This window comes from Homo sapiens, chromosome 9 (assembly GCF_000001405.40).
Source record: "Homo sapiens chromosome 9, GRCh38.p14 Primary Assembly".
Classification (NCBI taxonomy): domain Eukaryota; kingdom Metazoa; phylum Chordata; class Mammalia; order Primates; family Hominidae; genus Homo; species Homo sapiens.
This window is the reverse complement of record NC_000009.12, coordinates 100615021-100630890: the sequence shown is the minus strand read 5'-3', so window position 1 is coordinate 100630890 and position 15870 is coordinate 100615021. Positions and strand designations below refer to the sequence as shown.

Here is a 15870-nt window from a genome sequence, read left to right as displayed (position 1 = left end):
GTAGATTATTATACGCATGTATCTCTAAAAAGTAAGACTCAAACTATCTTAAAAAAAGAGAGGGAAAAGGTGGGGAGGAGGCTCTTCGCATATTTATATGAAATGATCTGCAAGATACGTTATGAGAAAACTAAATGTAGAACAGATAGAGTTTGTGTACAGAAGGGAGAAATATATACTTAAATGTATTTACTTGTAAATATTTAAAATACTCCTAGAAAGATATGCTAGAAGCAGTCAATACAGATTGTCTCCATGGAAGAGAATTGGGCGGCTGGGGGATCCATGGCAAAAAGATTTCTCCCTATAGTTCCTTTTATATCTTTTGAAGTTTTATTCTTTTCTCTCCCAGCCCCTTTGCCTGTGAATGTATTCACTACTCAATAGATTAAAATGACAGATTTTAACGTAAGGAATCTAAAGAGAAAACGAGTGGCTAGGGTTCTAGGACCTCTAGTGAAGTTTCCAGAGCTGGAGCTCCATATAAGTTCTTTACCAGAGCCTTTCATAAAAATAAAATTCACCGCATAACTTAGAGTCGCCACATTTTCAAAGGAGTGGATATGTGACCTAGATTAATCCCTGTGTTTTTTCATAATACTGATATTTTAAATGTAACAAGAATTATTAGCAATGTTTTCAGAGAAGACTCTCTTCTAGTTTACTAAGGCCTGAAACTCTTTATTTCCAAGAACAGACACATTTTTTTTCCTATTTTCACCTACTTAATATTACCTAGCTACCAAAAATCTTGGGATTCTTCCATTTTTAAGGGCAATATTCAATTAAAATTTGGCTTCCCCTTTTATTGTCAAGAATTTGATTAAGATACCTGTAAGTATAGTGATGTTAACGTGAATCTAATAATTTGTCTTTTCTAAAAGTTTATCAGAGATATCATCAAAGGATTCCAAGTCATCAGTCTAGTATCATTCAGGATCAATACCAACACCATTAATGACACAAAGGCATTGTTCTGGGAAGAAAACTACATCTGAAGATTGATAAATGGATTTCAAACAAAGAAGAGCAGAAAATAATCCATACAAGCTGAAATAAAGCTTTTAAAGGCAGGCAAAACCAAATGTAATATTCTGAAGCAAAATGCACCTTATGTCTTTTGTAATTTGAAAGAGAAACATCTGTAGAAAGATGCCATATACATTTAGTGATGTTAATATCTTAACCATTTATCTGACATTTTAACTATATACCTTTAGGATAGAACCAAAATCTATAAACCCCAATCTTTTTAATTCTAGGTAAAGAATGATAAGATACTTGACCAGAATTATAAACATGGTAATAGAAAAAAAATACAGGAAGCCTATTTTTTCTCAAAGTACATCATTAAAATTCAATGCTATGAACACACACTTCACATGCACACTGTTATAGCTGTATATAAAATAAAGGCACAGACCAGAAAATAAAAAAGGTAAGTTTACATAAGGAGATTATAGGTGATGCTTTGGTTTATATATTAATATCTTTTTTATTATTATAATAATATTTTAAAACAATTACAAATCAATGCTGCTACTAGCATCCTAATTTACATACAGATGTTAATGTCCTATATATTTTCATTTTAATAAACATTTCAGCATAATTCATGCACTTTTCAGAAAACATATCTCATAAGGGAGTAAAAATGAAAACAAAAGCTTCCATGGTACTACAAAAATTCTAAATTCCTTGAGCCGTTTGTTTATGCGTATTTCTACGACTAGCAAAAAAAATGGAGTTCTGCTTCTAGCAATGGATGATGCATACTTTTAGAATAACCCTCCTGTGGAGAACAACTATAAGCTGTTTTAAAATATATACTTGAAATATATGTTGGCCTCAAACAACTACGAAGACAGTGAGAAGTTGTGGGGCCAAGGTCTAGGAGATAAGGGAAACCAAGAGAGGTAATTCCAGAATTTACAGCACATTTCCCCTCAAGGCAAATTGCCAATTCTGAAAATGAAAATAACAAATGGGAGACAAGAAAGTGAGCACAATTTTCTTCATTTTCACGGGACTCAGAGAACATTTGAGTTCAAGGCTTCCCAAAGAGAAGGGTCTCCGGCAAATACCCTACACTTTCAGTAAGGTTCTTAAAGGTTGCCCCCAAAGAATAAGGGTGAACTAGAAACAAACTAACCTACCCAAGGACGGAAGCCCAGATTTGAGTCCTCTCAATTCTGAAAGAATTAAGCTGACCTGTCTAGACAAGCTCTAGAAAGAGCTAAAGGAAATCTTCCCTGGAGAAAGAAAACAATACCCAGAACCTCAATTTTTCTCTAAAATTCTTTATAAAAATATCTGGCACTCAATCAGAAAAAGGTTGGGGGGAAGAGCAGGTAAAAAGATAAGATTTATGTAAAAATCAAGAAAAAACACAATAGAAACAAACTCACAAGAGATTTAAATATTGAAATATCGAAGACAGACAAACTATTATTATGTTCAATCAATTAAATGAGAGGATAGAGAATTTCAGCAGAGAACTGGAAAGCAGAAAATAAATGAAAATTCTAGAAAGTCTAGAAGTGAAAAATAAACATTGTAAATTGACAGTACAATAGATAGATTTAACAGATTGCATACAACTAAAGGAATAATTAGTGAAGTAGAACATCAGAAGAAAATATACAGGCTGAAGCATGGAAAATCAAAATAATGAAAAAATACAGCAAAGAACATAAAAAACACAGGAGATATGATGAAATGGTCTAAGAAGAAGAGGGGAGAGTAAAGCAGAAGCAAAATTTGAAGACATAATGGCAAAAATTTTCCCAAAAAAATGATAAAACCACCAAGTGCTACAAACTCCAAGATGAATAAATATAAAGAAAATGGTACTGAGCACATCATGGTCAAACTGCTGAAAAACAAAGACAAAAGGAAAACCTTAAAATCAGCCAGAAGAAAAGCAATACATTACAAGTAAAACCATAAAACCATCGGCCGGGCGCGGGGGCTCACGCCTGTAATCCCAGCACTTTCGGAGGCTGAGGCGGGCGGATCACGAGGTCAGGAGATCGAGACCATCCTGGCTAACACGGTGAAACCCTGTCTCGACTAAAAATACAAAAAATTAGCTGAGTGTAGTGGCAGATGCCTGTAGTCCCAGCTACTCGGGGGCTCAGGCAGGAGAATGGCATGAACCCGGGAGGCGGAGCTTGCAGTGAGACGAGATTGGGCCACTGTACTCCAGCCTGGGGGACAGAGCGAGACTCTGTCTCCAGAAATAAATAAATAAATAAATAAATAAATAAACAAATAAATAAATAAAACCGTCAACTGATTTCCCAACAGTGGTGGAGGAAGGCAGGAGAGGCAGGGAGGAGAAGACGATAAAATAGTGTCTTCAATTTGCTAAAAGAAAATAATTCTGAATACAGAATTCTATAACCACCAAAAATCCATTTGAAATTTAAGGTAAAATACACTTAATGCAAAAACTACAAAAATTTGTAATCAGCACAAATACACTAGTGGACATATAAAAAGGGAAAGGAAAATAATCCCAGAAAGCAGCTTTGAGATACAGGACAGAATACAGAATGATGGGAAGGGTAAAGTATGTCAGTATATCAGGTGAATGTTAACTACAAAATAATAGTAATAATGTCACATGGAGTTTAAAACATGTCATTATATGGAATCAACCTAAATGCCCATCAACTGTTGCCTGGATATAAAAAATGTGGTACATATACACACATGGAATACTATGCAGCCATAAAAAAGAATGAGGTCATGTCCTTTCCAGTAACATAGATGGAGCTGGAGGCCATTATCCTAAGTGAACTAACACAGGAACTGAAAACCAATTACTACATGTACTCACATATCAAATATATATGGACACAAAAAAGGGAAGAATAGACACCGAGGCCTGCTTCTGGGTACAGGGTAGGAAGAGGGAGAGGATTGAAAAACTACCTATCAGGTACTATGATTATTACCTGGATGATGAAATAATCTGTACACCAACCCCCTATGATATACAACTTACCTACATAACAAACCTGTAGATGTACCCCTGAACTTAAAATAAAAATTAAAAAATAAAATATATCATTAAAATCCTTGACATTAATAATATATGAGGCAGGCAGGGGCTGCTCTACCATCTCTGCTTTATCCAAAACTAAAAAAAGTAACAATACATAAAATACTTGTATAAATCAAAAAAGAATGTTAATATATCAAGTTTAATCCCTAAAAGAGTGGTAAAAGAAGAGAGGAAATGGAATAAAAACTGATTAACCAAAAAGAAGGCAAGAAAGGGAGAAAAAAGAGGATAGACTAGTATGACAAGTATGTATTAAAATGGTAGGTTTAAACTCAAATATATAAATAATACATTGAATGTGAATAAATCAAATGTATAATTAAAAGAAAACATTGTCAGACTGGATTAAAAATAAATAACTCAATTATGTAAAAGATACACCATAAGTAAATGATGTTGAGAGTGAAAGGATAGAAAAACTGCATATGCCAGGCAAACACTAACCAAAAGAAAGCTGGTGAATCCTCAGTAATATAAGGCAAAGCAGACTTTAAGGCAAGAAGCATTACTGAAAAAAAGAGGGACATTTAATGGGATAAAAAATTTAAAGGGAAAATATAGTAATATCTAAATTTGTTTGAATCTAAGAATGTTACCTAAAAATATATGAAGCAAAGACTCTGGCAGAAATAAAAGAAATACAGAAATCCATACCATGATTGGTGATTTTAACACATCCTTTTCAGTAATTGACAGAAAATGCAAATAAAACATCAGTAAGGCTACAGATTTGAACAAGAATAACAAACTACCTAATGGACAGATATAGAACAGCGTGCCCAACTAGTGTCAAATATACTTCTTTTCAAATACCACCGAACATTTACTAAATTGTGCAAAATCTGAGCCAAAAATCAAGTTTCAACAAGTTTCCAAAGATTTAAATAATACAGATTATGTCTTAATTAACCACATAAAATTAAGCTAATAACACCAAAAAGGCACAGTAGCTCATGCCTATAATCCCAACATTTTTGGAGGCCAAGGCAGGAGGATCACTTGAGCCCAGGAGTCTGAAAGCAGCCTGGGAAGCATGAAGAAACCTTGTCACTACAAAAAATTTAAAAAATTAGCCAGGCATAGTGACACGTGTCTGTGGTCCCAGCTACTTGGGAGGCTGAGGCAGGAGGATCGCTTGAGCCCGGGAGGTGGAGGCTGCAGTGAGCTGTGTTTGTGCCACTGCACTCCAGCCTGGGCAACAGAGTGAGCCCCTGTCTCAAAAATAAAAATAAAATAAAATAAAATAAAAAGATAACTTTAAAATCCTCGTATGTGTAGAAATTAATCAATACCCTTCTAGATAGCCCATGGGTCAAAGAAGATGATGAAACTAAGAGATATCTGAAGTGGCAATAATTTTTTTTAAAAAAACTACATATCCATATTTGCAGAAGAAGAACTGAAGCCACATTTAGAAGGACATTTATGGCCTTAAATGTATATATTAGAAAAATTAGGAAGGCTAAAAATTAGTGATCTCTGCACCCTAATCTTAAGAAGTTGGAAAGAGAAAAGGATGTCAAATTAATCCCAAAGTAGAAGCATGGAAATATTAAAGATAACATTAGAAATTAAATAAAAAATCATATAAGAAGATGAACAAAGCAAAAAGTTGGTTCTCTGAAAGCCCTAGTAATAAAATTAACAGGCCGGGCGTGGTGGCTCAAGCCTGTAATCCCAGCACTTTGGGAGGATGAGGTGGGTGGATCACCAGGTCAGGAGTTGAAGACCAACCTGGCCAAGATGATGAAACCCGGTCTCTACTAAAAATACAAAAAAATTAGCTGGCCGTGGTGGCAGGCACTTGTAATCCCAGCCACTTGGGAGGCTGAGGCAGAGAATTGCTTGAACCCAGGAGGCAGAGGTTGCAGTGACCCAAGATCGCACCACTGCACTCCAGCCGGGGCAACAGAGCAAGACTCCATCTCAACAAATAAATAAATAATAAATAAATAAATAAATAAATAAAATTAAATTAACAAATACCTATAAAGACCAAGAAAAAAGAAAAAACAGGGAAAAAAAAGAACATCAACTATGGCTCCTAGAAACATTCAAATATAATGAGGATATTATTAACAACTTTATGCCAATAAATTTGAAATGATAAATGAAATGGACTAATTCCTGGAAAAACATAACTTAGGAAAAGTATGGGCAAGACAGAAAATCTGAATAGTCTTATATCTAATAGATATTAAAGGTAGCCTAATTTTTAATAGCAATATGTTATAAACATTTCCTTATATCATTAAATGTAGTTCTTCAGTGATAAAGGACATTTATTATAGTAGTAAGATTGAGGTTTCATTTAAGTTTTGCTCATTCTTAACTATGTGACATCTGATAAATTACATAACCTCTTTATGCCACAATTTTTAAAATACTAACCTCATAAATGAGATAGCACATCATATACTTAGTATATTGCCTTGTATGTAGTAAATGTTTGATAAGGATAGCTATGAGTACGTTTAATGACTTCATGGTAGCCTATTTTCTCCTCTTATAAATGCTACAAGAAAATCCTTATTTATACACCTTTACACATATCCTTATTTCTTCAGGATAAAATCCCAGTAATAAAACTGATGCCTCAAAAGAGATTCATAATACATAGGGCCCAATTTTGCTTCAGAAAAGCTGAATCAGCTTATACTTCCACAAACAGAATGAAAATGCTCATTTTCCTACACCCATACCCAACTAGATATTATCTTTTTTTGACAATTTATTGGGACAATGTGGCAGATTCATATTTTATTTATTTTTTCACTCATTTATTATTTAGTAAGTATGGCATTTATTAGATCTACTGGTATCTGTAGCAGTCCTTTCATAAATTGCCTTTTTATATCTTTTACCAGAAGAGATGAAAGTAAATCTGGTGCAAATCACAAGGCCCAGTGGTCAAGGAGTCCCAAAGCAAATCCCATCTGAAGATTTTTTAGCCAGTCTTCCCTTTCTGGGGACCCAAAAATTGTTTGCACATGGGCCTTCTTCTCCCATCCATTTTTCTCCTAAGATACTTTTAACTTTGAATATTGATTTATAAGAGCTCTTTATAGGGCTTCAAGCAACCCTCCTGCCTGGCCTCCCAAAGTGCTGGGCTCTTCATAGGGCTGTTGGTTGTTTTAAAATCACTTATGCTGGTGTTCATTTACTTTCATTCTTATTTAATAATAAAAATACGAAGTCCAGATGAGATTGGGCATGCTTGCAAACTATACATCTGATGAAGGACTAATATCCAGAATCTACAACAAACTCAAATAAATCAGCAAGAAAAAGCAAACAATCCCATCAAAAAGTGGGCTAAGGACATGAATCAACAATTCTCAAAAGAAGATACATAAATGGCCAACAAACATATGAAAAAATGCTTAACATCACTAATGATCAGGGAAATGCAAATCAAGACCACAATGTGATAACACCTTACTCCTGCAAGAATGGCCATAATCAAAAAATCAAAATTAACAGATGTTGGTATGGATGTGGTGAAAAGGGAACACTTTTATATTGTCGGTGAGAATGTAAACTGGTACAGCCACTATGGGAAACAATGCAGAGATTCCTTAAATAACTAGAAGTAGATCTTCCATTTGATCCAGCAATCTCACTCCTAGGTATCTACCCAGAGGAAAGGAAGTCATTATACAAAAAAAGATACTTGCACATACATGTTTATAACAGCACAGTTTTGCAATTGCAAAAATATGGAACCAGCCCAAATGTCCATCAATCAATGAGTGAATTTTTTTTTAATGTGGGGTATGTGTATATACATATATATATATATATATACACACACACACACACACACACATGCATATATATACACATCTATATATACACACACACATATACATACACACATACACACACATAATGGAATACTACTCAGCCATAAAAAGCAATGAAATAATGGCATTTGCAGCAGTCTGGATGGAACTGGAGACCACTATTTTAAGTGAAGTAACTCAGGAATGGAAAACCAAACATGTTTTCACTCATAAGTGGAAGCTAAGCTATGAGGATGCAAGGGTGTAAGAATAATATAATGGGCTCTGGGGACTCAGGGTAAAGGGTTGGGGGGTGAGGAATAAAAGACTACACATTGGGTACAGTGTAGCTGCTCAGGTGATGGGTACACCAAAATCTCATAAATCACCACTAATAAAGAACTTATTCCTATAACCAAACACCACCTGTTCCCCAAAAACCTATTAAAATAAAAATAAAGTATGAAGGCCTTGGATTTATCTGTGGTTGCAGTTTTGATCACATGCTATAAGTTCTTTATTTATTTGTCTGTTTTTGTAGAGATGGGGGTCTTGCTATGTTATGCAGGCTGGTCTTGAACCCCTGGCCTCAAGCAACCCTCGTCCCTGGCTTCCCAAAGTGCTGGGGTTACAGGTATGAGCCACTGTGCCCAGCTGTTTAAGGGTTTTTGTAGGGCGTTTTCTCATTATCATTATTTTCTAAATTTTTGCATCTGCAATATTTTTTCATCATATCTGAATTTAGCACATAAATATGTGTATATAAGAAAAAAATCAGGACAACACAATCACTAACTCATCTATAGGGTTTTGATTATTATAGAATATTAAACAAAGCACATAAAGACCATACTAAAAGGATATTTTGGACTAGAGTAGGGTTTTTGTCTGTTTGTTTGTTTTTTCAATTCAAAAGTTAAAGAAAACATATGGGAACAGGGAGAGTATGTAAGTTCTAAAGGGCAAAAATTATACATATTTACTTTTAAAAGTTATATGCAGTTGAAATTATACTGTATGTATTATCAAATAATGTTCATTTTTATTTTATCAAATATTTCAACATACCAGATGTAATCTATAATGCTTAGGCTTAGAAAATGAGACAATTCCAATCCCAGGCCATGGACAGGCACCAGCTGCAGCTGGGTCTTTACTGATCTCAAGCGAAAAACACGGCATCACAACAAACTTCCCTGGGGTCTGTTTTATTGGGATTAGAAATTACTTCTCCTATTAACAATGTATGTAGCATTGTTTATATTGTAGCGTTGACATTTTAGAAATTGTTGACATTTCCAAAAGAGCCATCTGATATGAGATTTTGAAATTATTTGAACTGAGGATAACCCGTGGCTTCTTGTCAAATTAAGCTCTTGTTGAATGCCTAGAGAGCGAGAATGAAGTGGAAGCCCAGAACAGGCCTGTAGGAATGCAAAATTGAATGAATTGATGCTGAGGCACTGACAGAGCCAAGATCTTCACTAAAACTTTTACATTGCACCTTTTCAGAAGAAAGCTACATGTAAAATCTGTGCCATGTAAGAGAAAAATTGTAATTACAAAATTAATAGTTAATACCCTCTCACATGAGTAGGTATATAATGATGTCAGAGGGATCCAATTGTGCCTCATCCAATGAGATACAGTAAAAAGGGCTACAAGAGTTAGAAAAAGCAAAGTAACAAAACACAGGCAAAATATGCTAGTGCAAGAGGGATATTGATTTTAGCTTCCTTTTTGGCACGAGTGACCCTGTCCCCTTTAAAGCATAACTATAAGAACCTGAGGCGCTGGTTTTTTTTTAGATGCCACAGGCGTAGAGGATTCCTTGATCTCAGTATTTCCCAAACTGACTTAACAATGGCCTGAGAAACACTTTTTGGAATATATTTTGTAAAAGAGTATTGACCTGTATACAATATATTGCCAAGTAGCGGAACACTATGTATAAGATATTAACAATTAGGTCATTATGTATTTTATATAGACCTTATATATAAAATATAAATATACGTAAAATATATTTATATAGTATATATTTTATCATTATATATACATATACAGTCAATCCTCATTATTCATGGATTCCATATTGGTGAAATTGCCTATTTGCTACAGTTTACTTGTAACCCCAAAATAACACTCAAGGCACTTTCCCAATCATTCTTGGACATATGCAGAGCAGCAAAAAATCTGAGACCCCCATACTCATGTTCAGAGCTGAGGTCAAAGGTCAAACGAGGCAATATTCCGCCTTCTTGTTTCAGCTCTCATATTGTAAACCCATGTCCTGTCCTTTTCACACTTTATTTAGTGCCACATTTTTCTGCATTTTGTTGGTGATGTCACTGTTTAAAATGGCCCAAGCATAACACTGAGGTGCTATCTAGTGCTCTGAAGGAGAAGGCTATGATTTGCCTTACAAGAGAAAATGTGTGTTAGATAAGCTTCCATCAGGCCTGAGCTATGGTGCTATTGGCCATGAGTTCAATGTTAATAAATCAAAATACATTAAACAGCGTCTTTATACAGGACACACATAAAACAAGGTTTTATATTGACTAATTGACAAAAATGTTGTGACCAGAAGTTCACAGGAGCCTAACCTTGTATTTCTTCTAGTAGCAATGGCTCAGTATTCACTAATTCCATGTTTGTAGCAACTTTATAAACTATTACCACTGTGAATAATAAGAATGGATGATATACACAAATGAGTCAAAAAAACTTTAGGAACTTCAATTTCTTAAGCTGGAGAAATTAGCCTGAATAAAAGCCACCTCTGGAAGACATTCATTTTTTCAATCAATAAATACGTATTGAGTTCTTACTCTGTGCTGGGTATAACAGTCTAACCCAAGCTTGTCCTACCCACAGCCCATGGGCTGCATGTGGCCCAGGACGGCTTTGAATGTGGTCCAACACAAATTCATAAACTGCCTTAAAACATTATGAGATTTTTGCTGGATTGCTGGCAAGATGGACAAATAGAAACAACTCTGGTCTGCAGCTCCCTGTGAGATCAACACAGAAGGCAGGTGATTTCTGCATTTCCAACTGAGGTACTCAGTTCTTCTCATTGGGAACGGTTGGACAGTGGGTATAGCCCAAGGAAGGCAACCCAAACCAGGGTGGGGTATTGCCTCACACAGGAAGTGCTAGGGGTTGGGAAACTCCCTCTTCTAGCCAAGGGAAGCCATTAGGGGCTGTACCGTGCACTTTGGCCCAGATACTGTGCTTTTCCCATGGTCTTTGCAACCCACAGACCAGGAGATTCCCTCCGATGCCTAGACCACCAGGGGCCTGGGTTTCAAACACAAAACTGGGCAGCCGTTTGGGCAGACACCGAGCTAGCTGCAGGAGTTTTTTTTCATACCCCAGTGGCACCTGGAACACCAGTGAGACAGAGCCGTTCACTCCCCTGGAAAGGGGGCTGAAGCCAGGGAGCCAAGTGGTCTGACTCAGTGGGTCCCACTCCCACAGAGCCCGGCAAGCCAAGATCCACTGGCTTGAAATTCTCACTGCCAGCACAGTGGTCTGAGCTCGACCTGGAATGCTTGAGCTTGGTGGGGGGAGGGACATCCGCCACTGCCCAGGCTTGAGTAGGGTTTTACCCTCACGGTGTAAAGAAAGCCACTAGGAAGTTCAAACTGGGCGGAGCCCACTGCAGCTCAGCAAGGCAGCTGCAGCCAGACTGCCTCTCTAGACTCCCTCCTCTCTGGGAAAGGCATCTCTGAAAAAAAAGGCACCAGCTCAGTCAGGGACTTATAGATAAAACCCCCATCTCCCTGGGACAGAGCACCTGGGGGAAGGGGCAGCTTTGGGCCCAGCTTCAGCAGACTTAAACGTCCCAGCCTGATGGCTCTGAAGAGAGCAGCAGATCTCCCAGCACAGCTTTCGAACTCTAATAAGGGATAATCTGCCCTCTCAAGTGGGTCCCTGACCCCTGTGTATCCTGACTGGAAGATACCTCCCAGTAGGGGCCGACAGACACCTCATACAGGAGAGCTCTGGCTGACATCTGCAGGTGCCCCTCTGGGATGAAGCTTCCAGAGGAAGGAACAGGCAGCAATCTTTGCTGTTCTGCAGCCTCTGCCGGTGATACCCAGGCAAATAGGGTCTGGAGCGGACCTCCAGTAAACTCCAGCAGACCTACAGCAGAGGGGCCTGTTAGAAGGAAAACTAACAAACAGAAAGGAGTAGTAGCAACATCAACAAAAAGGATGTCCACTCAGAGATCACTTCTGAAGGTCACCGACTTCAAAGACCAAAGGTAGATAAATCCACAAAGATGGGGAAAAACCAGTGCAAAAAGACTGAAAAATCCGAAAATTAGAACGCCTCTTCTCCTCCAAAGGAACACAACTCCTCGCCAGCAAGAGAACAAAACTGGACAGAGAATGAATTTGAAAATTGACAGTAGGCTTCAGAAGGTAGGTAATAACAAACTCCTCCAAGCTAAAGGAGCACGTTCTAACCCAATGCAAGGAAGCTAAAAACCTTGAAAAAAGGTTAGACAAATTGCTAACTGCCGTTTTAAAGAAGAACATAAATGACCTGATGGAGCTGAAAAACACAGCACGAGAACTTCATGAAGCATACACAGGTATCAATAGCTGAATCGATCAAGCAGAAGAAAGGATATCAGAGACTGAAGATCAACTCAATGAAATAAAGTGAGAAGACAAGATTAGAGAAAAAAAGAGTGAAAATAAATTAACAAAGCCTCCAAGAAATGTGGGACTATGTGAAAAACCCAAATCTACATTTGATTGGTGTACCTACAAGTGACACAGGGAACAGAACCAAGCTGGAAAACACTCTTCAGGATATTATCCAGGAGAACTTCACCAACCTAGCAAGACAGACCAACATTCAAATTCAGGAAATACAGATAACACCACAAAGATACTTCTCAAGAAGAGCAACCCCAAGACACATAATAGTCATATTCACCAAGGTTGAAATGCAGGAAAAAATGTTAAAGGCAGCCAGAGAAAGGTCAGGCTACCCACAAAGGGAAGCCCATCAGACTAACAGCAGATCTCTTGGCAGAAACCCTACAAGCCAGAAAAGAGCGGGGGACAATAGTCAACATTCTTAAAAAAAGTAATTTTCAACCCAGAATTTTATATCCAGCCAAACTAAGCTTCATAAGCAAAGGAGAAATAAAATCCTTTACAGACAAGGAAATGCTGAGAGATTTTGTCACCACCAGCCACCAGACCTGCTTTACAAGAGCTCCTAAAGGAAGTACTAAACATGGAAAGGAACATCTGGTACCAGCCACTGCAAAAACATGCCAAAGTGTAAAGATCATTGAAAATATGAAGAAACTGTCTCAACTAATGAGCAAAATAACCAGCTAGCATCATAATGGCAGGATCAAATTCACACATAACAATATTAACCTTAAATGTAAACGGTCTAAATGCCCCAATTAAAATGCCCCCAGACTGGAAAATTGGATAAAGCATCAAGACCCATTGGTGTGCTGTATTCAGGAGACCCATCTCATGTGCAAAGACACACATAGGCTCAAAATAAAGGGATGGAGGAATATTTACCAAGCAAATGGAAAGCAAAAAAAAAGCAGGGGTTGCAATCCTAGTCTCTGATAAAATGGACTTTAAACCAACAAAGATCAAAAGAGACAAAGAAGGGCATTACATAATGGTAAAAGGATCAATGCAACAAGAAGAGCTAACTATCCTAAATATATATGCACCCAATACAAGAGCACCCAGATTCATAAAGCGAGTTCTTAGAGACACACAAAGAGACTTAGACAACCACACAATAATAGTGTGAGACTTTAACACCCCACTGTCAATATTAGATCAATGAGAAAGAAAATTAACAAGAATATCCAGGACTTGAATTCAGCTCTGGACCAAGCAGACCTAATAGACATCTACAGAACTCTCCACCCCAACATTCCATGCTCATGGAAAGGAAGAATTTATACTGTGAAAATGGCCATATTGCCCAAAGTAATTTATATATTCAATGCTATCCCCATCAAGCTACCATTGACTTTCTTCACAGAATTGGGAAGAAACTGCTTTAAATCCCACATGGAACCAAAAAAGAGCCCACATAGCCAAGACAATCCTAAGCAAAAAGAACAAAGCTGGAGGCATCACGCAACCTGACTTCAAACTATACTACAAAGCTACAGTAACCAAAACAGCATGGTACTGCTACCAAAACAAATCTATAGACCAATGGAACAGAACAGAGGCCTCAGAAATAATGCCACACATCTACAACCATCTGATCTTTGACAACGCTGACAAAAACAAGCAATAGGGAAAAGATTCCCTATTTAATAGAAAACTGGCTAGCCATATGCAGAAAGCTGAAACTGGATCCCTTCCTTACACCTTATAAAAAAAGTAACTCAAGATGGATTAAAGACTTAAATGTAAGATCTAAAACCATAAAAACCCTAGAAGAAAACCTAGGCAATACTATTCAGGACATAGGCATGGGCAAAGACTTCATGACTAAAACACCAAAAGCAATGGCGACAAAAGCCAAAATTGATAAATGGGATCTAATTAAACTAAAGAGCTTCTGCACAGCAAAAGAAACTATCATCAGAGTGAACAAGCAACCTACACAATGGGAGAAAATTTTTGCAATCCATCCATCTGACAAAGGACTAACATTCAGAATCTACAAAGAACTTAAAAAAATTTACAAGAAAAAAACAAACAACTCCATCAAAAAGTGGGTAAAGGATATGGACAGATACTTCTCAAAAGAAGACATTTATGCAGCCAACAAACATATGAAAAAAAGTTCATCATCACTGGTCATTAGAGAAATGCAAATCAAAACCACAATGAGATACCATCTCATGCCAGTTAGAAAGGTGATCATTAAAAAGTCAGGAAACAACAGATGCTGGAGAGGATGTGGAGAAATAGGAACACTTTTACACTGTTGGTGGGACTGTAAATTAGTTCAACCATTGTAGAAGACAGTGTGATGATTCCTCAAGGATCTAGAACTAGAAATACCATTTGACCCAGGGATCCCATTACTGGGTATATACTCAAAGGATTATAAATCATTCTACTATAAAGACACATGCACATGTATGTTTATTGCAGCACTGTTCCCAATAGCAAAGACTTGAAACCAACCCAAATGCCCATCAATGATAGACTGGATAAAGAAAATGTGGCACATATACACGATAGAATACTATGCAGCCATAAAAATCGATGAGTTCATGTCCTTTGCAGAGACATGGATGATGCTGGAAACCATCATTCTCAGCAAACAAACACAAGAACAGAAAAACAAACACCACATGTTCTCACTCATAAGTGGGAGTTGAACAGTGAGAACACATTGACACAGGGAGGAGAACATCACACACGGGGGCCTGTCACAGGGCTGGGGGTCTAGGGGAGGGATAGCATTAGGAGAAATACCTAATGTACATGATGGGTTGATGGGTGCAGCAAACCACCATGGCACGTGTATACCGATGTAGCAAACCTGCATGTTCTGCACATGTACCCCAGAACTTAAAGTGTAATAAAAAAAAGTTAAAAAAAAAACATTATGAGTTTTTTTGCAATTTTTTTTAGCTCATCAGCTATTGTTAGTGTTCACGTATTTTATTGTGGCCCAAGACAATTCTTCTTCCTCCAATGTGGCCTGGGGAAGCCAAAAGATTGGATACCTCTGCTTCACCATTTTAGCAAATATATACACTGTCCTGACTTTCTGAAAGATTGTGGTCTAGCCAGCAGGGCCACCATTTCCATATATTATATAATGCAACACCTGAGTGGAGAGCAGAGACTTAACCAAATAATCCCATTGGTGAATTAATTATTGCAAGCTTGATAAATGCTTGGAAAGAGAAGAACATGGTTCTCTAAGAAGTCACCCTGCTTAGATGGAAGGTGGGAGGTGGGCTGGATAATCCAATGAGAAGATTGAGTGAAAGGAGCATGACATTCCGTAGAAACTGAGAGAAGACCATCA

The 15870-nt window shown here is 37.3% G+C and overlaps 2 annotated features.

Moving 5' to 3' along the window:
- Window positions 10834-11334: an enhancer, noted in NCBI's record as "H3K4me1 hESC enhancer chr9:103381839-103382339 (GRCh37/hg19 assembly coordinates)". NCBI's record gives its function as "activates a minimal SCP1, AML or CMV promoter by ChIP-STARR-seq in naive H9 embryonic stem cells {active_cell/tissue: H9 hESC(naive)}" and the evidence as "EXISTENCE:reporter gene assay evidence [ECO:0000049][PMID:30033119]".
- Window positions 11335-11835: an enhancer, noted in NCBI's record as "H3K4me1 hESC enhancer chr9:103381338-103381838 (GRCh37/hg19 assembly coordinates)". NCBI's record gives its function as "activates a minimal SCP1, AML or CMV promoter by ChIP-STARR-seq in primed H9 embryonic stem cells {active_cell/tissue: H9 hESC(primed)}" and the evidence as "EXISTENCE:reporter gene assay evidence [ECO:0000049][PMID:30033119]".